This window comes from Homo sapiens, chromosome 3, assembly GCF_000001405.40.
Source record: "Homo sapiens chromosome 3, GRCh38.p14 Primary Assembly".
Taxonomy (NCBI): domain Eukaryota; kingdom Metazoa; phylum Chordata; class Mammalia; order Primates; family Hominidae; genus Homo; species Homo sapiens.
The window spans coordinates 40,060,965-40,086,841 of NC_000003.12; the positions used below are offsets into that span (position 1 = coordinate 40,060,965).

The window sequence follows — 25,877 nt, forward strand, 5'->3', positions numbered from 1 at the left end:
TATAATTCAACAGGATATGCATATTGATGTTGTTATTGACATATTTGATTAAAAACTTCATTATATTATGCATTTCTAAAAGCCCTACTTTTTGATGGAAAGAACAATTTTGTGTTCATTTTTAACTTTTATTTTAGGTTCAAGAGTACATGTGAAGGTTTGTTATACAGGTAAACTTCTGTCACAGGGGTTTGTTGTACAGATTATTTCATTACCCAGTTATTAAGCCCAGTACCCAATAGTTATCTTTCTGCTCCTCTCCCTTCTCCTACCCTCCACCCTCCAGTAGACCCCAGTGTCTGTTTTTCCCTTCCTCGTGTTCATGAGTTCTCATCATTTAGCTTCCACCTATAAGTGAGAACATGTGGTATTTGGTTTTCTGTTCCTTTGTTAGTTTGCTAAGGCTAATAGCCTCCATCTCCACTCATGTTCCCATAAAAGACATGGTCTTGTTCTTTTTTACGGCTGCATCATATTCCATGGTGTATATGTGCCACATTTTCCTTATCCAGTCTGTCATTGATGGGCATTTAAGTTGATTGCATGTCTTTGCTATTGTGAATAGTGCTGCAGTGAACATACATGTGTATGTGTCTTTATGGTAGAATGATTTATACTCCTTTGGGTATGTACCCAGTAATGGGATTGCTGGGTTGAATGGTAGTTCTGTTTTTAGTTCTTTGAGGAATTGCCATACTGCTTTCCACGATGACTGAACTAATTTACACTCCCACCAACAGTGTATAAGTGTTCCCATTTCTCTGCAACCTCACAAGCATCTGTTGGGTTGTTTTTTGTTTGTTTGTTTAACTTTTTATAATAGCCATTCTGACTGGTGTCAGATGGTATCTCATTGTGGTTTTGATTTGCATTTCTCTAATGATCAGTGATATTGGATTTTTTCAGATGCTTGTTGACCACATGTATGTCTTCTTTTGAGAAGTGTCTGTTCATGAACTTTGCCCACTTTGTAATGGGGATATTTATTTTTCTCTTGTAAATTTGTTTAATTCCTTATAGATGCTGGATATTAGACTTTTTTCTGATGCGTAGTTTGTAAAAATTTTCTCCCATTCTGTAGATTGACTCTTTACTCTGATAGTTTCTTTTGCTGTGCAGAAGCTCTTAAGTTGAATTAGATCCCATTTGTCAATTTTTGCTTTTGTTGCAATTTCTTTTGGTGTATTTGTCATGAAATGTTTGCCTGTTCCTGTGTCCAGGATGGTATTGCCTAGGTTGTCTTCCAGGGTTTTTATAGTTTTGGATTTCACATTTAACTCTTTAATCTATCTTGAGCTGATTTTCATATATAGCGCAAGGAAGGGGTTCAGCTTCAATCTTCTGCACATGGCTAGCCAGTTATCCCAGCACCATTTATTGATTAGGAAGTCCTTTCCCCGTTGCTTGTTTTTGTCAGCTTTGTTGAAGATCAGATGGTCATAGGTGTGCAGCCTTAGTTCTGAAAGCCCTACTTATTATTAAAATGAGAAAGACAACATTAAAAGATATTAAAAGATTAGTATAAATATTGTATCAAATATATTTCATTTTAAATAAAACATAAATTCTAGAATATGTGTAATGTGTAGGAGGACCCATACAAAATCCATGGGCACCCAAATTTTGACTAATAATCAGATAAGGTTAACTCTGGATTCTATTAAATTGATTATAAAATGACTGTGCTTTACATTTTAACGTTTCTGAAATCAGGATGGGTCTTCAAAAATATACTTGCCAGGCACCGTGGAAAAAATAAATTGTAAATATAATTGCCTGTTCATTTGTTGACTTGGCCTTGTGTGAAAAATATCTATTATTGAAATGATCACTTCACTGAGTTATTTGTGCTGGTAGCATCGTGTGCCATTTTTCATTACCTTACCTTGGATAATTAGCTCTTGAGATGTCTTTATACACCAAGATGTAGCAAGTCAAAGAAAGTTACTGTGTGCCTGAAAAATCCCAAGTTACACAGGGCTGTTTAGTGGAAAAGCTGTACAACTGCCAAATCTCTTGACTAGATTAAAGAATTTGAAGGAAAAAAAGATTTAGGAGATGTTGGTGTGAAGCTTATGTACCATGAGAGACAATCCACCTGTCCAAATTTCAGTATAAATCTAATTTTGAGGAAACATCAAACAAATACATATATATAAACTGGCTTAAATTTTTCAAAATGTTGATGTCACAAAAGACAAAGGCTGAGAAAATGTTTGGATTAAAGAAGACTAAGGAGACATGACAGCTAAATGAACTGCCTGATCCTTGATCAACTCCTAAGGTAGGGGAATATAGCTACAAAGGACATTGGGACAGTTGGAAATATTTGTTTATGGATAGTAGGGGAATAGTATTGTAGTAATTTAAAATTTCCCTGAATTGATCATTTTCCATGTTTATGTAAGAGAGTGTCCTTGTTCTTGGAAATACACACTGACATATCCAGTAGTAAAGCAACATATTTATTACTTATTTCTTCTATGAATGCTTACTGAGTTTGACCTATACAAAAGGTCTATGCTAAAGTACTATCAACTGCTTACTGCCCATCAACAATTTTCTGGAGAATGGTTTGTTCAAATTTTCACTTGCATCTTTGTATATAATTTTGGAAGTAGAAATTGTTGGTCTGTGTTTTACTTGTAATATTCTTTTCCTCTTTTCTTCTTGAAGCATATTTGCATAGCTTACATGACAGTTATGTTGGGGGAACAAACCAGGTGGGAATTTTGATCTCCTTGAAATTTCTTTTATAAGGAAAAACAACTGGTTCACTCTTTCAGCAAGTTCCCAGGCCTACATTAATAGTCAAGGTTAAAGAGATGAATTGATCACTATTCATGCTTATGGAAGCTTTTGTGGAAAAAGGTCTGTGCATGGGTGGTTGTGGAGGAGTAAAGAGTGCTCTGCCGGAGATTGCAAAATTCTCAGGGAGCCCAGTGGCTAGAGCAACAACATGACAAGTGTCCCAGGGGAAGGGATGCATGCGCTGGACTTCCATGAGAAGAGTGTACAGCAGGTGAGAACAGGAGGGAAGGGCAGGCTATATAAAGTAAAGAGCAAGAAGGGGCAGACTTGAAAGCCTGGGCCAAGTTTAGGCAAGACTAACTTCTGAGGGCTGAATCTAGGCTGCAAGCAGAGAGTAGATGGGAGAAGAGTAATCTTGATTAGGTGTCAACATTCTCCACCTTATTATATGTAGTCCCGTCAGGTGGACAGTACCCCCCTTTTACAGTTGTGGAAACTGAGCTCACCGAGACAGTAATTTACCCAAGGTAATTTTCCAAGTAAGGGCAGGAGCAGGATCCAAACCCAGATTTTGGACTCTAGGGTGTGCCTTCTCAACAGGATTATATTCCTCTAAGGGGGCAAAAAGTGGCCTTTGGAGGGAGAAAAAAAAACCTTGCTCTCTTTATCTATAAAGCAGAGACATATATACAGATGATGCTATATGAGAAAATGGATGATTAAAATACAAGTTGTTGTCTAAGGTGTTTTCAGCAGTTCATATCCCCACTCTGTTGTGCTTAAGGTAGACAGTATAACTGTGGTATTAAAATTTTATCCAGGGGGTAATTAGGGGGAAAATGTCTGAAAAGGCAACAATGTAAAACAAAGGTTATGAAACACTGCTCTATAGCAAGACAGGCAAGGACAGTGTCCTGAAGCCACGGAGGTCCTGGGATGCCTGGGTGAAGTTGACGTTTCTGTCCCTTGAGCTGATGATCTGTTCTCCTGACTTCATTAGCAGGGGCTCCTACAGCCCCATGAAGGTAGGTGTTGGTCTTGCTTATAAAAAGTGATAAAATGAGCTTGTGTTGAGTTGAGAAGAAAATCCTCATCCTGGGACTTAATTCCTCACCCTGTTAAAAGCGATGGGAAACCATAGTGTGTGTGTCAAAGGAGCATCTTTCTAGGAGGGGAACACTGGATAACTGTGACCTTTGGTTAAATGATATTTCGAGAGTAATAACCCACAAACTTCCACGTTCCCTACAGATGAGTAACCTTAACCCTGCGTACTCATTTCTTAGGGTTTCCATAATAAAGTACCACAAACTGGGTGGGTTAAAAAACAGTTCTGAAGTCTGGAAATCTGAAATCAAGGTGCAGGCAGGGCCATGCTCTCTCTGAAGTCTGTAAGAGGAATCATCCTTTGATCCTTCCCAGCTTCTGGTGGTTTGACAACCTTTGGTGCTCCTTTGCTTGGAGCCATGTAACTCTAGCCTCTGCCTTCGTTATCACATAGTATTCTCCCTGTGTGTCTCTGTCTTCCTACGGCCTTTGACCATCTTCTTATAATGACACCCATATTGGACTGGGGTCCACCCTACTCCAGTATGACCTCACATTAACTAAGTGCATCTTCAATGACCCTATTTCCAAATAAGGTCACATTTCTAGCTACTCAGTGTTAGGACTTCAACTTACCTCTTCTGGGGAGGGAAGAAGCATAATTCAACCCACAACATGCTGTGGGATTTTCTGTGTTTTTTTAATACTTGCCACTCATCAGTGGTATTTGGTGGATGTTGATATCAGTCTTGCAGCTTGCACCCCTCAAAACTGGAGCTTCAGGATGTTAGTCTGGAATTGGCATTGGTGTGACTTTAGAAAGAGATATAAACAATGACAAATACACAGGAAGATGTTACATAGGCATGTGACATGGGCATCAGTGAGAAGGTGACAGTTTTAAAACAAGAGGTAGATGCTTTAATCTTAGAAAGCATTTAATTAATCTTCCATTTTATGTCGTTACACCCAGAAGAGGCATGTGGCTCTGTTGTCCCCCATCTCAATGCATGGATGAACCTCATTCTACCATGTCCTGAAGGGCAGGATCTGGTCTTCTTTATCTTTGTACCCAACACAGCTCGAGCACAATGCCTGGCACACTGTAGATGCTTAGCAAATGTGGAGTTGAAGTCTCAGAGCCTGGACTATGTTTCTCAGTCCACCAACTGTTTTAGGTGGGGCCAATACTGGAGAAATGGATGAGTGATGCCTTAGCTGTACTGATAGCTCAGATCTGCTCCTGCCATGAACTCTAGGAAAAATAGGCCTTGCTGTGACGAAGAAGGACCCCACACCTTCTGCACAGCCTCCTGGAGGCCATAATGGAAGAAGAGTTGGATTTAGGGTTTCAGTGTTGCTCGTCATTTCAGAGAAATAGAGGTGGGAGGAGGAGAAGGAGACCTCTCTGATGAGCCCAGGAAGTCCTTTGCTGTGCACCACCCTCCCCACACCAACTTGCAACTTTTTACTGCCCTTGTATCAGGTGAATATGGAAGATTCTGTCTTGGGAGTTCTGATATGCACAGACTGCAAACTTTCTGGGGTCCATTAAGACCATCCTGATATGTTAAGGGGAACCTCTCCTCAAATTGCACTTCTGGGGGACAAAGCAATCTTGAGATCTGAAGAAAACTTTTTTTTTCCTTTATTTATGTGGCATCCCCACTCCTGTTCAGAGGGTGTTGGCAATGTTTTTGCTTAAGGTAGAATTAAGGTTGTAGATGAGTACTGGTTTCAACACTTTAATAACAATTTTAGTCTATGACTTAAAACTCCTGACACAAATGAAAAGCTGTGATTCCCTTAAGGTTGTACCTCTAGTTTGAATGTATGTCAGATTACTGACTCATATATCCTGGTTGAATTTTTTTTTATTAATGAATTGAAATCCTAAAATTTACTCAATGGACTCTTACTACAGAGAAGGTTCTGTATTCCAAGTAATTTACAGTTAATATAGTCTGCTCACTTGGATAAGGCTGCAGGTTATGTTATAGGAGCAAATGAATGATTAAAATATAAGTTGTCTAGGGTGTTTTCAGCAGTTCACATTCCTGCTCCCTTGTGTTTAGCACAATCTTACCAACTGTCCCTCTATACTACAACATGAATGAAAATATGTGAATGAGTGACATATTTGTGGATATATGTTTAAATTTAAAAGCTGGTATTTCTTCATGTAGAAGGCAACTTTTATGTCCTTTTTGCTTTTCTGTCCTTTTTGCTTTTCTATAGTTTCCAAAGCTTTTACTATCAATATTTATTACATATAGAATCAAGAAAACAATGACTGTTATTCATAAACCTATAATGACTTTTCAGAAAAAATTTCCTATAACTAGGCCATAAATAAGCATTTGCTATTGATTGTCAGAGATTATTAAAGTTGAGAATAGTAAATAATGATTCTAACTCTAGGCTTCCCAGAAGAGAACTAGACTCACATCTGCAATTTAGAAATTATGTGAACTAAGCAAGCATTCAGGAAGAAATGCATCACTTACCTACCCATGGGTGGATTTGAGCAAAGGCTGTGTGCAGTTGTAAAGCAAGAATGAGGTCTGGGTGGGAGAAAGACTCAGTGGTTTTCAGGGGCTCAATCTAATTGTCTAGAGGGCATTCATAAATATCTTTTCTGAGAGTATTTTGATTATCACAATGACTGGGGTTACTACTGACCTCTGGTGCAGTGGGGCCAGGCATCCTGCAGTATGTGGGCCAGTCGCAGGCCAAGAAGATCTGTTCCCTCCAAAATACCAGGAGGGTTCTGTTGAGTGGCAACAGTAGACTCTACTGAGTGGGTTTTCTGTGAGCACAGAGGAGGGTGAGGATCTCCTGAGTCAAGCTAGGTATTGTACTCAGAATGAAGGATAGGCCTTATTTCTACCCAGAAAGACCTAGTTAGCTTTTCCACTGGTGTAGAAGGAGCTAGTCCACAAGAAAGTTAACTTCTGTTTCTGGTACGCACGAGATACCCTGAAATGAGGTCTAAGAGATGGTAACATTTTCAATGCTAACAGTTATAAGGTGCTTATCAGATGCCAGGCATTGTGAATAATCACCCATGATCCTATCACCTTGATAGAGTTATTGTCATCTCTACGTGTTATCATCCATATAACCTCATATTTTAAATGGTAATGTCTTCTTTTTACTACCATTTTACATAAATACATCAACTCCTATCCATATTTCTATACAATAGCCATAGTTATTGAGATGCATATTTAATAGTCTATCATGATATTGTATCAATGTATTAACCCATTTTCATGATTTTGAACATTGGGCGTTTCTTCTCTCATTTTTATTTCGCAGCTATAGACAGTGCTCCCATGAATGCCTTTGTACAGATATCCTTTGCTTCTGGTTATTTTCCTAAGAAAAACTCTACAAGTAGCAGTCTTGGTTCAAAGAATGTATATATTTTTGGCTCTTCTTAAATAGTACTATGTTGCTTTCTCACAAAATTACATGAACTTATTCTGCCACCAGCAATAAATATCACTTTCAGCACAAACACACCAATGTCAAGTTCTCTCATTTAAAAAATTCTAACTACTTTTCTGGGAGTAAAACAATGTTTTGCTCTAGGTGAGTTAAATATTTCCAGGACTTTGGATGTTTTTCTCTGGCTTCCTTAAAATATCTTATTAGCCTCTTGAGATGGTTGAGGATATAGTGTCAGATTTGTGAAGCTGGAACCAGAGTTACACTAAGGATGTATTGTATATAGTTTTCTTCCAGCAAAAATTATTTAGCCCTGAAAGCCAAACAGCAATTCTATACAAAATACTGTATTCATTAATCTTTTTATCAACTTACGGAGATATGAAATGGAATCAAACACATACAAATCAAGGATACTACATTCAAGTTATGCACAAGAAAAGGGAACAGAACTCCCCAGTCTCAGCCCTCTTGGGCTACATTGATTGACTGAGCCAGAGAGGTAAACAAGAGGAAAAGGTACATCATCCCTGGCTTCAGTTCTAACCCGTTTCCCCATTTGTCATTTATATTTTAGCATGTTGTCTTTACATGTTCCCATGGAGAGCACTGTTCAGGCTTGTATTGACAGTTGCAGGGCGGAACATTCATATCCACTGCACGCCATCAGAAAGCCTGTGAATTCATCATGCTTTTGTGGACACTGGGCTTGAAAACACTGCTCTGCGTCACCAGCTACAAAACCCAGGCACAGCCCCATCTTCACCCACTCCCTTATTGTATTAAGACACAAAACACATCTAAGAAACAAAGCCTGGCTTGCCCTGTGTTTCTAAATAAGTAGTAGTATGGTCCTGTGTTTCTAAATAAATGAGTAGATTGGTAGCTGGTACCCATGGGACAAAAGGATTGTAGTCTCAGAAGTGGGTTCAGTAACACTACTCCTTTGGGAGAGAAACATGTCACCACATGTTTTGGGGATGCACCTGCACATCTCTTCTCCCCCCATATCCTGGCAGTGGTTGTACAGAAGCTACGCACCACCACCTACTTTTTATCTTTACTGTCATTGTATTTACTATGACTCTTCAGGTACTTTTCATGTGCTTATTTCATCTAAAACAAAAATTCACAACAGATTCTAATCCAACCTACCTCAAGGCCAAATTTCGCAAGATACTTTTTTTTTTTTTTGCTTTTTAAAGTGTGATATAATATACATAACATAGAACTGAATATTTTAACCATTATTAAATGTACAGCTCAGTGGCATTAAGTACATTCATGTTGTTGTGCAACCATCACTATCCATCTCCAGAAATTTTTCATCATTCCAAACTGAAGCTCTATGCCCGTTAAATAGTAACTCCCTATTCCTTTCCTCCCCCAGCTCCTGGCAACTATCACTTTACTTTCTGTCTCTGAATTTGACTACTTTAGGTACCTCATATAGGTGGAATCATACAGTAGTTTGCCTTTTGTGTCTTACAACAGTGGTCCTCGACCTTTTTGGCACCAGGGACGGGTTTTATGGAAGACAGTTTTCCCACTTACGGTGTGCGGAGAGGGATGGTTTCAGAATGAAACTCCCATATGCAGTTCACAACCAGTTCGTGCTCCTAGGAGAATCTAATGCTGCCACTGAGCTTTTGTGGAGCCAGTCCATGGCCTGGAGGTTGGGGACCCCTGTCTTACCAAATACATTTTAAACATTTAAATTTTACCCCAGCTTATGCTTAAAGTGGTTCGCAGTATCTTTCCAAGAGACCTTTACTAACATGAAAAGATACATAGACATAAATTTTTAAATAGGAGAAGAAAAATATAAACTAAGTATAATTCAAAAATGCACCCTGCTGTGAATGACACAATTTCAGACATTGGACCACACATTTATATCTGGGTCCCTTAATGCCCAAAACAGAACATAATACTTGATCAATTACATAATTCTTATAGAGAACATACTGACTTCCAAGCAAAGCAAGTATTTCAGGGCACTTTAATTCTGAAAGATTTTTCTCCCTTTCATTCTTTGCAGGGAAACATTAATGTGGGGGACTGTATCCTTGATAATGGCCTCATAGTATTTCACAGGACTGCTCCTTAAAAAGCGTAACTCCACAAGAGCTCTAAAAAAGGCCTGAGAGTGAGGCCAAGGAAGCATGGCTTATATTGACATTGTTCATTTATACAGTCATTTAACAATAGTTCACCAAGTCACCTGTGAGCATGGATTACAAAGGCAAATGAGGTATAATTCTTACCCTCAGTGAGATTACAAATCATAGCCTAGTGCTTTTGATTAAGGGTCCTCAACCCCCAGACTGATACCGGTCTGCAAGCTGTTAGGAACCAGCCTGGTTCCTAACAAATCAGCGATGGCATTAGATTCTCATAGGAGCACAAACCCTATTGTGAATTGTGTGTGCGAGGGATCTAGGGTACACGCTCCTCATGAGAATCTAATGCCTGATCCCAAAACCATCCACCCCCTTACCACCCTGGTCCATGGAAAAGTTGCCTTCCATAAAACCAGTCCCTGGTACCAGAAAGGCTGGGGACTGCTGCTTTTGATGATCAGGCTAGATTCAGGAGCAAGAAATCTAGGCTCCATGTCCTTTAACATCCTTACATATCATTTTCTGCAGTCCAGCTTCTGAGAGATGTTGGGCATCTAAAAAGTGTCTTCCCCCAGCAAGGGCATTCTATGTGGTGGATTATTGTGAGCTCCATATACCTTAAAGCACAAACCAACAGACTGATGGCTCCCCATGCCTGGGTGAGACCTCCCACATGGAGTGAGTCACACAAGATGTCAGGCAAAGCCAAAGCAAGATGCATTTGCCTTTTGACATAAGAATCTGTGGTAGGGAAGAAAGCACAGGAAGAAGAGAGTCATTTTGATGTCCTCAACTGCAGTAGGAGCCATCTCCCTGACTTGTTCTGACCTGACTTGTTCCCTACCGTAATCTCCTGGATGCAGAAGTCCCTCAGGCCCATCGGGTAAACTAAGAATCTTGCTGGAGTTGGGGTCAGAATGTGAGCCATCAGAGAGATGGCTGGATCAGGGGATTCAGACAATTATATGGGGTGCACTGGTTGGTGGTTGGGACGGATGGCAGGTCAGGAATGAAAACAGGCGAGCTGAAAATGGGAGATGAGGAAATGCAGTCTATCCTGATGGCTCTTCTCAGGAGTTTGACCATAGAGAATGGGGTAAAAGCTGGGACAGTTGTGGGGTCAAGGAGAGGCTGACAGTTTATTTACTATGTGTGATTTTAGAACATGTGTGACGATTCAGTAGAAAGGGAGCAATTGATGATTGGGGCACAAGGGTCAACTCTAGGTGTGAGGCTTTTAGGAATCTAAGGAGCTGGGACTCACTCAGAGCAGGAGTGAGGGCCTGGCTTCTGATGGAAGGGAATGTTCCCAGTATTTTCAGAGGTTTGCGAGCAGGATGCAGATGCTGGGGAGGTTGGGGTGGAGAGATGAGGTACTCCCACTTGGTGCCTCATTTTCTCACAGAGGGTAGTTTGGAAGTTTGAGAAGACAGGACATATAAAAGAGTTGTCTCAGGAAACAAGGATTTTATTGGTCATGTATTGGTTATTTGCTTTGGGGTGTGGCATGGTGATATCATTTCTTGCCTTTCACAGGGCACAGCACCTGCAGGGTCACGAGGGAGCTGGCCGGTTCTCTGGTTGGGACACCTAAATCTGAACCTAGGAGTAGAAATGAGGGCCAGACTCTCTGCTAGACAAACACAAAGGAATCTCTGGTCAGAATGGCATGCCATTCAAAGTCTGTGGTGCTTGTTTAATGGGAAACCCCCCAGTTTGGTTGTGTGATTTTTCTGCAGTTTATTCAGTGGCTCAGGGGCCGGATGCAGAAAGTAGGCTGTAGGGCTTGCCTGGGGCAAGCATCAAGATAGGTGCTTAGTGCACTAAGTTTTAACCTTTATTACTGTATTATATGCATTTTATTTTTTTATTTTTTATTTATTTTTTGGAGACAGAGTCTCGCTCTCTCACCCAGGCTGGAGTGCAGTGGCATGATCTTGGCTTACTGCAACCTCTACCTCCCGAGTTCAAGCAATTCTCATGTTTCAGCCTCCTGAGTAGCTGGGAATATAGGCGCACACCACCACACCCAGCTAATTTTTTGTATTTTAGTAGAGACGGTTTCACAATGCTGCCCAGGCTGGTCTCGAACTGCTGACCTCAGGCAATCCAACCACATTGGCCTCCTAAAGTGCTATGATTACAGGCATGAGCCACCGCGCCCAGCCTGCATTTTAAAAAGTAAGTTTTTGCTAAATACTGTTTTACTACATCTATATATTTTTATGTGTAATATTTTTATTGTCACTCAATTCAAAATATATTCAAATTTCTTTTGTGATTTCTTCTTTAACTTGTGGGTTATTTAGCAGTGTGTTTTTAAACTTTCCAAGCATGTGGAGATGTCTTGGTTATATTTATATTATTGATTTCTAACTTAATTGAATAGATATCAGAGAACTCTTCTGTATTATTTCAATCCTGTGAAATGTTTTGAGACTTGCTTTGTGGTCCAGTATACTGCTAGTTCTCGTAAACATGGTGTGTTCTTTTTTAAAAAAAAATGTATATTGTGCAGTTGTTGGATATAGAGACATAAATAGAGATACAGATATCCATCCATCCATAGGCAAGGTTTATTAATGATATTACATTCTCCTATATTCTTTATGATCTTTTAATCTATGTGTTGCATCATTTTTGAAAAAGGTATATTAAAAATATTCATATTTTGAGTTCCAGGGCTGGGACCTGCTTTCTCATTTGGCATTTTGATAGAACGTACAAGAGAAATTAGAACTTTTTACTGAGAAAATTCTGACTGGTTACAAATTGAAGGAGAAGCTAAAATTATCCTGACTCTCACAACTACATGAGTTGGTAGGTTTTAAAAACTGAGATTGAACCTAATGTTACCAGAAGTATGAGGGTTCTGTGTTCCTGTCTTCTTGGAGGAAAGGATTCCACCAAGAGACCAATTAGTAAAGTAAGCAAAAGGTTTATTAAGGAAATAAGAGTACACTCCAAGAGAAGAGTGGGAGAGTGGGCTGGCCTGGCTGGGAGCAGCCCCAAGAGTTCTGCACTGCGGGTTTTTATTATGTCGGACTCTTCCTGCCTCTGTTTCAAGTCTCTGACTTTGCTTATCTGGTTTCCCAATTCTGTCTTAAGTCTCCACCTTTGTCCCCACCTAGTTCCTGCCGAAGTTTGTAGGATTCTGCCTTACTCTCTGTTGATGCGCATGCTGCGGGGCTCAGTGATCAATACGAATCCTACCTAATGACGGTGTTGCTCATTACCACCATCCCTGGAAGGTTCTTTAGCAGTCAAATCTGTATTTATTGCCTCTGCGTATCTCTTAGAAATTTCCCTTTTGCCCTTCTTATTAGCATGTAGCTATATTCTGACAAGTTAATTACAGAGTAAGTGATTACTGGGCATCTTAAGGGACGTTTCAGAACATTCCTTTCTGCATAGGTAGTTTCCCACCTCTCTGCTCATATCTAGCAGCATGTTTTGGTTGGTCTCTGAGGCGTGAGGTTTTCCAGAGCTTTCGCCCCCAGGGGCTCCCCCTACTGCTTATGTCTAGCTATCTGCCTACTCTAACACTAAGGACCTTTCAATTCTACTCTCTACCTGTATAGATCTGAGGTCCAAAGAAGAGCATGACAATCACTGTAGTTGATAGAAATCTGGAATTAGAACCCAATACTCTTTCCATTCTTGTACTCCTTTAGCAACTAGTAGTTTAGTCTGTAGCACATTTTAAGACTGAAATATTTCTGCTTGAATATTTAGAAACTTTTTTTTTTTTTTTGAGATGGAGTCTTGCTCTGTCACCCAGGTTGGAGTGCAGTGGCGCGATCTCGGCTCACTGCAAGCTCCACCTCCCGGGTTCACACCATTCTCCTGCCTCAGCCTCCCAAGTAGGTGGGACTACAGGTGCCCACAACCACACCTGGCTAATTTTTTGTGTTTTTAGTAGAGACAGGGTTTCACCGTGTTAGCCAAGATGGTTTCGATCTCCTGACCTCAAGATCTGCCCACCTTGGCCTCCCAAAGTGCTGGGATTACAGGCATGACAGAAACTCCTACCTATGCATTCTTATGTCAAAGAAAAACTCACAAAGGAATTTGCAAAATTTTTAAGAAATAGAGAAAATTTAAATGGTACATATTAAAATTAAAATATAGAGCACACCTAAATCTGTCCTCTGAGGAAATTTTATAGTATTAAATTTATGTTACTAATATAAAAGAAGAACGAAAAGTGAACTAAGCCTCTAACTTAGTAACTTCAAAAAGTAACAGTAAAATAAACCCAAGGAAAGCAGAAAAAATGAAATCATAAAAGATGAAAGCAGAAATTAATTAATTTAAGCAGAAAAGCTCAAGAGAATGAGAAGACCAGACCACAGACTGGGAGAAAATACTTACAAAACATACATCTGATAAAGGAGCTATCCAAAATATACAAAGAACTCTTAAAACTCAACCATAAGAAAACAACCTAATTTAAAAGAGCAAAGACCTTAACAAACACCTTACCAAAGAAGATACGTAGATGTCAAATAAGCATATGAAAAGATATTTCACATCATATGTTATCAGGAAAACTGCAAATTAAGACTCTTTTCCATTGCATATGATACAAATTCAAAGAGCTAGTTTCCTCAAAATTATAAAAGTTAATACAAAACAAAGATACTAAAATAGAAAAAGGACATGTGAAATAAGTAGGTTACAGGCAAGGAAATCACAAGAAAAGATATTTTATAACTGAAGTAATACAACAAAAATGAAAAATCATTTTTCATCTATAAAATTAACAAAACATTTAAGTTTAATGACATCCAGTATTGATACATGTATATGGGAAAACAGGCAATCTATCACACAATTACTGGGAAGATAAGTGGTGCAAACTTTTAGAGGACAGTTTACACATACTTTCCAATTCTAAATATTCATTAAACTTGACCAACTTACAAAAGAGTGGCAAAGATACAAATAAGTACAGTAGTACTTATTAAAGCATTGTTTCTAATGCCTAAGAAAAACTGGAAACTATATAAATGTTCATTAATCAAGGACTAGTTTTAAAAATTAAGACATCCATTCCATGAAGTACTGAAGTAGATCCACCTGTCCTGATGGGAGAAGGGCGAGAGCATGGCTTTGGAGCCAAACCTCCTGGGTGCAAATCCCAACTTTGCCATTTACTAGCTGTGTAATATGAGGCAAGTTATTCAGCCTCTCTGTGCCTCAATCCTCTTGAGTAAAATGTGTGCAGTAGTACCCATCTCAGAGGGCTATTGTTAGATTTAAATAACTTAATAGAATGCTTAGAACAGTGCCACCACAGAATAATCTTTCAGTAAATATTAATTATTATACATTATTATTAAATGGCACAAATGCAGGACATAGGCCAGTGTGTAGTATGGTCTCTTCTGTAGAAGAAAGGGGGTGGAGTAAATGAGGGAATGAGGAGACAGGGAGGGTGGGGGAAAAGCATAGAAATACTTAAATGTGGAGGGGAAGAGACTTGTCATCTTCATTTTACAGTTTTGTCTGTATTCCTTGAATTGCCTAACTGTATTGTCAGGAAAGCTAATCTGTGATGACAAAGAAACCCCAAAGGCTGGGCATGCTCACGCCTGTAATCCCAGCAATCTGGGAAGCCAAGGCAGGTGGGTCACTTGAGCCCAGGAGTTCGAGACCAGCCTGGCCAACGTGGTAAAACCTCATCTCTAAAAAAATAAAATAAAATACAAAAATTAGCTAGGCATAGTGGTGCATGCCTGTAGTCCCAGATACTTGGGAGGCTGAGGTGGAAGAATCACTTGAGTCTGGGAGGTTGAAGTGCAATGAGCTGTGATTGCACTATTGCTTTCCAGTGTTGCTCTGGACACCAGAGCAAGACCCTGTCTCAAAAAATAAAAATAAGAAACTCCCAAAATGTAGTGATTTAAAGAACAGAAAAGTAATTATCTTTCTCAGGGAAGTCCAAGGAGAGTGTTCCAGGTTGGCCAGTATGTATATGTTCCATACAGTCACTCAAGGCCCCACAGCTCTGCCATCCCCTAGGGGCAATAGTTTTTACATTTGACTGCATATTAGAATCCTTGGCAGAGCTTTGGAAAAAAATCACATTGCCCAACCACAAACCATATCAATTAAGTCAGAATCACTGGGCCAGGGCACAGGCACTAATATTTACTCCAGAAGATTCTTGTGCAGCCAGGTGCCTTAGGGCTTTATCATCTAATTGTTGATGCCCAGGCCATCTATGGTTTAAGCCTCTGAGAAGGGGAGGAGAGCATGGAGGAGGACCACCTTCTGTACAAAGGGCCTGGCCCAAAACAGGCACACATCATATGTGCTCCCATTCCATTGTTAAGAGCATAATCACCCTCTCATGCTTAGCTCAAAGGGGGACTGGCAGCCACATGGCTAAAATTCTGTTTCTAGAAAAAAGGGGTAGAAGGGATTTTGGTGGTCAGCTGGCAGGCTCTGTGACATAAACCACGTGAAAGTATTACCTTACCCTCCCACGCAAAAAATTACAACACCAGAGATTATGGCCTTTTTCTTCATAATTTTCTGTATTTCAGAACTCTAATGCTATTTTTTAAGTTAGAAAAAGGAAACATAGTTAACCCTTTTTCATTGCATATGACAGCTTACCATGTACTATTGTGTCCAGAATTGGTGGGTTCTTGGTCTCACTGACTTCAAGAATGAAGCCGTGGACCCTTGCGGTGAGTGTTACAGCTCTTAAGGTGGCGCGTCTGGAGTTTGTTCCTTCTGATGTTCGGGTGTGTTCGGAGTTTCTTTCCTTCTGGCGGGTTCGTGGTCTCGCTGGCTTCAGGAGTGAAGCTGCAGACCTTCGCGGTGAGTGTTACAGCTCATAAAACAGCGTGGACCCAAAGAGTGAGCAGTAGCAAGATTTATTGCAAAGAGCGAAAGAACAAAGCTTCCACAGTGTGGAAGGGGACCTGAGCCAGTTGCCACTGCTGGCTCGGGCAGCCTGCTTTTATTCTCTTATCTGGCCCCACCCACATCCTGCTGATTGGTAGAGCCTAGTGGTCTGTTTTGACAGGGCACTGGTTGGTGCATTTACGATCCCTGAGCTAGACACAAAGGTTCTCCACATCCCCACCAGATTAGCTAGATACTGTGTGTGGACACAAAGGTTCTCCAAGGCCCCACCAGATTAGCTAGATACTGTGTGTGGACACAAAGGTTCTCCAAGGCCCCACCAGAGTAGCTAGATACAGAGTGTCAATTGGTGCATTCACAAACCCTGAGCTAGACACAGGGTGCTGTTTGGTGTGTTTACAAACCTTGAGCTAGATACAGAGTGCCAACTGGTGTATTTACAATCCTTGAGCTAGACATAAAGGTTCTCCAAGGCCCCACCACAGTAGCTAGATACAGAGTGTGGATTGGTGCATTCACAAACCCTGAGCTAGACAAAGGGTGTTGATTGGTGTATTTACAATCCCTGAGCTAGACATAAAGGTTCTCCACGTCTCCACCAGACTCAGGAGCCCAGCTGGCTTCACCCAGTGGATCCCGCACCGGGGCTGCAGGTGGGGCTGCAGGTGGAGCTGCCTGCCAGTCCCGCGCCCTGCGCCCTGCGCCCGCACTCCTCAGCCCTTCGGTGGTTGATGGGACTGGGCGCCGTGGAGCAGGGGGTGGCGCTCGTTGGGGAGGGTCGGCCACACAGGAGCCCATGGAGAGGGTGGGAGGCTCAGGCATGGCGGGCTGCAGGTCCCGAGCCCTGCCCCGCGGGAAGGCAGCTAAGGCCCGATGAGAAATCTAGCGCAGCGCCGGTGGGCTGGCACTGCTGGGGGACCCAGTACACCCTCCGCAGCCGCTGGCCCGGGTGCTAAGCCCCTCATTGCCCAGGGCCGGCAGGGCCAGCTGGCTGCTCCGAGTGCGGCCCGCCAAGCCCACGCCCACCCGGAACTCCAGCTGGCCCGAAAGCGCTGTGTGCAGCCCCGGTTCGCATTCGCACCTCTCTCCCTCCACACCTCCCTGCGAGCCGGCTCTGGCCTTGGCCAGCCCAGAAAGAGGCTCCCACAGTGCAGCGGTGGGCTGAAGGGCTCCTCAAGTGCCGCCAAAGTGGGAGCCCAGGCAGAGGAGGCACCTAGAGCAAGCGAGGGCTGTGAGGACTGCCAGCACGCTGTCACCTCTCACTATTGTATGACTTTCTCATTTCAGTTAGAGGATAAAACCATGAGCCCTTTGGAATTGTGATTTTGGTACCACATTTTAAAATGCAGTTTAGAAATTTGAGTGTACCTATCCCAAACACTGCTGAATTCAAGACTCTCTTCCTCCCAAAGTTTATATATGGACGAGCCTCCTGCAGGCTCCTCAACTGCTGGTAAGAGAGACTAGTGGTCTCCTCTCCTTTCCTCACCCCCAAGCCTCCCAGATTAGCACTTGTAAAATCACTTCTTATGCTGCAGCAGGCAGGTTGTTCTGCCAAGAATTGGCTTGTGCTCTGGAGAAAAGAGCCCTATTTTAAGAGATGCCACAGACTGCCCGTTCTGCTGAAGGAGACAGGGGAGTGCTGGGACTTCCACCTGTCAAAACATGATTTGGAGTTCTTTTGGAAAGTGGAATATGCTCAGAGACCACAAAACCGACTCCCTCCAGACCCTCTTCCTTCTCCAGTTTCACTTCATTTCCACATCATTTGGAGCTCCTTAATCCTGGAGGTGAGGCCAAGTAACGTGATGGATGTTAGAAGGGGAAAGGACTAGATTTCCTAATTTAGCAGTGAAAACCCCAGAAAGAGGAAAGAGAAGCTAGAAAAATATGCTCCCTTGTTGTCAGTAGAGATGAAGGGATTTTAAATGTGGTACTTAGAAGTTGACTGTTCGAAGATCACACGATTTACCATTTAAGCCTTCTTAGACACTTGAGAGTAAAAGGGAGCACCCTTCATTACACTGGACTGATAGCCATACCAAGGCTATCCTGGGCAACTGGGCTATGTGGTATCTTAATAGTTAGGTGGCCCCTTTCACTAACAGACAAGCCATCTTTGGTCTATATTTCTAACTTTTTAGTGTCTAGTGGGCCTGTGACCTACACAGTTGTTACGCTGAATTAGGGAAGTGCAGCTTCATCAGGGACAGTTGCCGTTAAATCCACTGGACTAAAGAGTCCTGTTGGCAGCTCACACCTCTGTCAGAGACAGCCCAGACCTTAACCTTAAAGTAGGTACATTCAGCTTTCAGAGCACACATGAGTGCTAAAACAATCAGGACTTTTCCTCGTTGTACACAAGAAAGCAATGAATGTCGAAGTTCCATGCATTCCCTAGGTGCATTCTTTTTGTGTGATTCTTGAACATTCCATTCCAAGAGCCTTTGCAAAAACCAACACAGGATCTGAAAATGCATGTATGCTGGCTAAACTGTGCTATAAACTCATACCAGTTAGCCAAGTTCAGAAGGCTGGGGCCAAGGGAGCTGGAAGTATAGCATTGTTCACAGCATTGCATGAGAGAAGATATTTCCATTGCAATACAAAATAACTTTGACTATCTGTGAAGCATATGTGATTCCTTTTAAAAAATTAATTCTAATTATATACAGATTTTTCAAGGTTTTCTAAGAAACTAATTTTACCATATTAAAACAATTGTATTTCTTCCTTCCTTATACATTTCTTTTCTTTCTCTTGTTTTATTGCCCTGGCTAAAATCTCCAGTGAAAGCTGAATAACATGTTAGTCATCACTAACAACCTTGGAAAGGTCCTGATATTAAGGGAAATACTGTTACCATTTCACTAGTGTGTGTGAGATTGGCTGTAGGGAGTTTTAAAAGCTCCTTTCCAGAATCAAGAAGTTCTTTTTTATTTCTACATTGCCAAGAGATTTTAACATGAGTGGATAGTTTTCCTTCTCCCTTAACTTGGTGAATTATATTAATTAGTTTTCTAAAAATTAAACTAACTTGCATTCCTGGCACAAACCCAGCTTGGTTGTGTATTGTGTTTTTATACTCTGCTTATATTTATTAATATTTTTGTACCTATGTTCACAGGTGAGATTGACCTATAATTTTCAAATCTGTTGCTCTTCTTGGTCAGGTTTTAGTTTTTGGTATTAATGTTACACTATCCCCATAAATTGAGTAAGGCGCTATGCCTTCTTTTCCTGTTTTCTAAAAAAAGAAAAAAAGTGTATATAAAATTAGATTAGTTGTTCCTTAATTTATAATATTTTATTTTGAGTTGGTTTCTAGTAAGGAACAGGTTCTAGGAATTTGTTTATCTAACTTTCCAATTAATTTGCAAACTTATTTATAATATCATCTTATTCTCTAAGTGTGTATGCATCTGTCTGCATCTCTAGTATCATACCTGTTAGTATTTATACCTTCTTTTTTTCTTTTTTAAGATGGGAGTTATCTTTTTCTCTTTTCAAAAAACCAATTTCTGACTTGCTAGATTCTCTCTACTGAATAATTGTTTTCTATCCTAACTTCTTTTTTTTTTTTTTTTTTTTTTTGCTTCCATCTACTTTCTTTGGGCTTTTTCTACTCTTCTTTGTCTAATTTCTGATGATGGATACCTAGCTTATTTATTTTCAGTCTTTCTTCTTTTCTCACTAAATTCTTCTTTATATATCATAGTAACTAGATGTAGTCTTTTTATCATTCAATTCTTTTCTAGTTTGATTTTTTCTTCGACCTATGTGTTATCTAAAAACACATTTTTAAATTAACAAAATATGAGGTTTTTCTAATTGTCTTTTTGCTATTGATTTCAAACTTTATTGCATTGTCCTCAGAGACTGTGGCCTGTATGATACCACTTCTCTGAAATGTATTTAGACTTACCTGCCCATGTTATGGTCAACTTTCCTAAGTATTTCACAGGTGCCTGAGGAGAATATATATTCATGAATTTTTGAGTACAGTGTCTTATGTATGATCTTTAGATCAAGCTTGATATTGTGCTGCTCAAATCTTCTATATTCTTCCTCAATTTTTGACTGCTTGTTATATCAATTACTGAAAAAGGCATTTCAAAATCTACCCTAACAATAATTTGTCTCTTTCCTTTTGCAATTGTCTGTTTATGCTTTATGCATTTTGAGGTCAAGTTATTAGGTACATACAAGTTCAGAATTGCTATATATTTCTTTTTCACTTTGGCTCTCTGCACTGCATTTTGGATAATTTGTTTACATCTGTCCTTCGTTTTACTAATTCTGTCAAGTTGTGTTTAATCTGCTATATAGCCTATCCTATGTGGTTTTTGCCATTACTTTTAATGACAACCTAACAATGTGATGTTATGACATATGTATACAATGTAAAATAATTAAATGAAACTAATTAATATATTCATTACCTCACATACCACTTTTTGTGGTGAGAACATTTGGAATTTATTCTCTTAGCAATTTTGAAATACAACGTATATTATTAGCTATAGTCAACATGTTGTGTAGTAGATCTCAAAAATGTATTCCCTCTGTCTAACTGAAACTATGTACCCTTTGACCAACATCTCCCCATGCCCCCATCCCAGCCTCTGCTAACCACCATTCTACTCTCTGCTATTATGAGTTCTACTGTTTTATATTCCACGTATGAGCAAGATCATGTACTATTTGTCTTTCTGTGCTGACTTCTTTCACTTAGCATGATGTCCTCCAGGGTCATCCATGTTGTTGCAAATGACAAAATTCCCTTCTTTTTTAAGGCTGAATAGCATTCATTATGTGTATATACCACATTTTCTTTATCTACTAAATGGCCATTATCAAAAAGACAAAAGATAACAAGTGTTGTCAAGGATGTGGAGGAAAGAGAACCCTTGTACACTGTTGTTGAGAATGTAATTTAGTATAGCCATTATGTAAAATTATATGGAGGTTTCTCAAAAAAACTAAAAATAGAACTACCATGTGATCAGCAATTCCACTTCTGGATCTATGTCCAAGGAATTTGAAATCAGTGTATCAAAGAGATAAATGCACTCTCATGTTCATCACAGCATTACTCACAAGAGCCAAGATATGGAATCAGCCTGGCATTTATGAACCTCACCATTGCGGGAGCTGGTGGCTGAAATCAGTGCTCCCTGCCAGTCTGAGAAGTCTACATTCAATTGATCACATTCAAAATTTCATACACCTGTCTTTTTCATGTAAAGTTTTTCATTAATGGCTTAATTTATATTTAATTACCCAAAATAATGAACTCCAAGATTATTTATTTTCTGGGCCAGAAATCAACAAATCATCTCTCTAGCATTTAGTGTTCTGTGTGCTTTTCCTGTGATCATTAGGCATAGAACTCAGGAACTTTATAATTCTCATTAGGGCCTAGTTACCAGATTATTTAAAGCATAAATCTTATTGCTAATTACAATGGCTGAGGAAAAACAAAAACAGAAACTAACTTTTTCACCGTCCTGATATGGCTCCTTTAAATGGGCCTCCTAATCATGAAGGAAATGGCATGTGTAATGGATACATTTTTCATCTCGATGCTCATGAAGGCAACTGCATTTCTTTTGCAGATAAATTTCGGGAAATGGTCCCATAACTCCTTCTGTAATAAGACACTTAATAAGATAAAATCAGGTGAAAATCAAGGCTTCTACCCGTAAAATAGGCCAGAATAATATTGGATCATTCGAGTGGGGAGCCAAATTTAAAGAAGCTGAGCATTATCTTACATTTAACGGACATTTGAGTTTAGCCAAGATTAGAAAACAAAATCTCTTGCTAGCTCATGAGGGAGCTCACAGGAATTTAGTCATTCATTCAACACCTATTTAATGAGTGGCTGCTGTGCACTGTATTCCAGAATTAGGGAGTCAGATATGAACAAAACAGGCATAATTCTATGTCTGTGGGGCTCATGGCCTAGAGAAGGAACAAACAGATTATTGTGTGATTCCAGTCAGGGAATGCTGAAAGTCTAATGCTGTGAGTGGGTCTTCATTCAGACAGTAGGGATGACAGATGTGGCATTATAGTTCCTCTTGAAGGATTGGGGAGCTGGTTAGACAAAGGTAGATTTGTCAGTGTTGGAGGCCAGAAGGGAAGAAGCACAGTCCTGGAGGGCCCAATGTGGCTAAGATTGCTTTCTTCCTTATTCTTCCTTCTTCCTTTTTCCCCTTCTCTTCATCTTAATTTCCATCTTCAGTAATAGTAAAGCATAGTATAGGTGGTAAGGGGCAAAGGGAAGAAGAATACTGAATTATCAGAGAAGAGTCTCTGCCTTTTGGACTCCCTAGATACCAGACCTGGTACACAACATAGAAAAGCAAATACATCCAGATCTATGCCAAGACAAATAATAATTAAACTTCTAAAGGCTAAAGAAAAAAATTGAAAGCACATAGAAACAATGCATTACTTACAGGGAAAGATCAATGAGGGTGACAGCAGAGTTCTCCATCTCAAACCATGGAGGCCAGAAGGAAGTGGCACAATATTTTTTAAGTGCTGAAAGAAAAGCATGGTCAACTGTGAATTCCTTATCTGGGGAAACATTCCTTCAGGAAGGAAAGGAATATCAAGACATTCTCGGCCGGGCGCGGTGGCTCACGCCTGTAATCCCAACACTTTGTGAGGCCAAGGTGGGCGGATTATGAGGTCAGGAGATCAAGACCATCCTGGCTAACACAGTGAAACCCCGTCTCTACGAAAAATACAAAAAATTAGCCGGGTGTGGTGGCAGGCGTCTGTAGTCCCAGCTACTCAGGAGGCTGAGGCAGGAGAATGGCGTGAACCCGGGAGGCGGAACTTGCAGGGAGCCGAGATCACACCACTGCACTCCAACCTGGGCAACAGATCGAGACTCCATCTCAAAAAAAAAAAAAAAAAAAAAAAAAAAAGACATTCTCAGAAGAAGGAAAACTAAAAGTTTGTCATTGGCATAAATATTATATATATATTATATATGTAAAATGTAGAAATATATAATATATAAAATATATAATACACATCTATGTATTATATATCGATATATAATACACATCTATGTATTATATATCGATAGATAATACACATCTATGTATTATATATCGATAGATAATACACATCTATGTATTATATATCGATAGATAATACACATCTATGTATTATCTATCGGTAGATAATACACATCTATGTATTATCTATCGGTAGATAATACACATCTATGTATTATCTATCGGTAGATAATACACATCTATGTATTATCTATCGGTAGATAATACACATCTATGTATTATATATCGATAGATAATACACATCTATGTATTATCTATCGATAGATAATACACATCTATGTATTATCTATCGATAGATAATACACATCTATGTATTATATATCGATAATACACATCTATGTATTACATATCGATAGATAATATCTATGTATTACATATCGATAGATAATATGTATCTATGTATTACATGTCGATAGATAATATGTATCTATGTGTTACATGTCGATAGATAATATATATGTGTTACATGTCGATAGATAATATATATCTATGTGTTACATGTCGATAGATAATATATATCTATGTGTTACATGTCGATAGATAATATATATCTATGTGTTACATGTCGATAGATAATATATATCTATGTGTTACATGTCGATAGATAATATATATCTATGTGTTACATGTCGATAGATAATATATATCTATGTGTTACATATCGATAATATATATCTGTGTTATATATCGATAGATAATATATATCTATGTGTTATATATCGATAGATATATATCTATGTGTTATATATCCACAGATAATATGTGTCTATGTGTTATATATCCACAGATAATATGTGTCTATGTGTTATATATCCACAGATAATATGTGTCTATGTGTTATATATCCACAGATAATATGTGTCTATGTGTTATATATCCACAGATAATATGTGTCTATGTGTTATATATCCACAGATAATATGTGTCTATGTATTATATATAATTCACACACACACACATACATATATTTCGTTTTCTTTTTTTGAGATGGAGCCTCACTCTGTCACCCAGGCTGGAGTGCAGTGGCGCGATCTTGGCCCACTGCAACCTCCATCTCCCCGGTCAAGTGATTCTCCTCCTCAGCCTCCCAAGTAGCTGGGATTACAGGCACCCACCACCGTGCCCAGCTAATTTTTGTATTTTTAGTAGAGACGGGGTTTCATCATGTTGGCAAGGCTGATCTCGAACTCCTGACTCAGGTGATCTGCCTGCCTCAGCCTCCCAAAGTGCTGGGATTACAGGCATGAACCACTACACCCAGCCAGCAGATATATTTTTAAAGAGTGGCTAAAGAACTTCCTCAGGGAGGAAATGGTAAAAGAAGGCATCCTGGAGCAGAGCAGCCCCAGCAAGGGAGTACTTAGGAATTAGTGGGTAAGGAAAGAATCGAAAAAGCTTATAGTGTCCTCAAGAAGGAAGAAGAAAGGAAGGAAGGAAGCAGCAGCAATGGAAGAGTAAAAATATGGGTACATAAAATAGACTATCTCTCTCCTCATGAGTTTTATAAATCATATTTGGTAACCGAAACAAAAATTATAACCCCATCTGACATTCAAGACAATCATATGGAAAAGTGGGAAAGGCAAAGGAACCTAAATGAAAATAAGGTTTTCATACTTCACTCAAAGTGGAAAAATGTACACACAGTACTGTGATAAGGGACAGATATGTGTTATAATACCAAGAGCAACCACTACAGAAAGTATATAAAGAAATACAGTAAAAAAAACCCTATGAATAAATTAGGATGGGATCCCAAAAAATGTTTCACCCACAGGAAGGCAAGGAAAAGAGAAACAAAGGAATGAGAACTAGAAGAAACAGTAGCAGAAGAAACTGCTAAAGAATTTTCAAAATCTAGGAAAATTCTTACAAACTTTTGGAAAGTTCTGCATCTTCCCAGCAGAGCCCCAGTCCAGACTCCATGACAATAACTTCTCACGGTCTGAAAGGTCCTCTCAAACCAGGGTGTTCCAAAACTACCCAGAAGCAATGGATGTGATTCTGTAAGTAACCTCAGTTACTCTTGGCAGCCACCTGAAAACATACTTAATGAACTTGCTTTTCCCTCTGTAGAGGCTTCCTTTGGAGGGATGGGAAGACTGTGGTAGAGGGGTTTTCGCACTTCGGGCAGGCTCCTCCAACACAGGAGGGGCCGTAACTCAGCCTAGGAGTCCAGGTGAGAGCCACCAGGGCAGACCTTGCTGCTCTTCGCCAGGTTTCAGGACATGCGGTGTGAGCTGGCTTTCCTGGCTGCTTAGACACCTGCCTCCTGCCTCACACTCAGGACCTCTGGTGTTGCAGAAAGAATACCAACCCTATCAGCAGGCATTCCAGGCTTAAATCCTAGCTCAGCCCCTTACTTTCTGTCCTCCAGTTCCACTATGCATCAGAGATAATGCTGGTTCAGGGAGATGCTGGGAGGAATAAACAAGGTAACCCAGTACCTACTTCAGGGGACCTCTAATGAATGGTGGGTGCTCCCAATTTCCAGAACTGGGTTCAGAGAAGAGGTTTTGAC

General features: G+C 39.9%; 1 protein-coding gene and 1 long non-coding RNA gene across 7 annotated transcripts in view; one reads left to right on the top strand and one right to left on the bottom strand.

The window, feature by feature from the left end:
- Positions 1-25,877, top strand: part of MYRIP (myosin VIIA and Rab interacting protein) — a 451,408-nt gene that overhangs the window by 252,051 nt on the left and 173,480 nt on the right. The gene's annotated exons all lie outside the window — the stretch shown is intronic.
- LOC124909367 (uncharacterized) lies at positions 115-22,941 on the bottom strand. Its single transcript, XR_007095875.1, has 2 exons — positions 22,724-22,941; positions 115-4,611 (listed from the first exon to the last, which is right to left on the bottom strand). It is a non-coding gene; the product is annotated as an uncharacterized LOC124909367 (long non-coding RNA).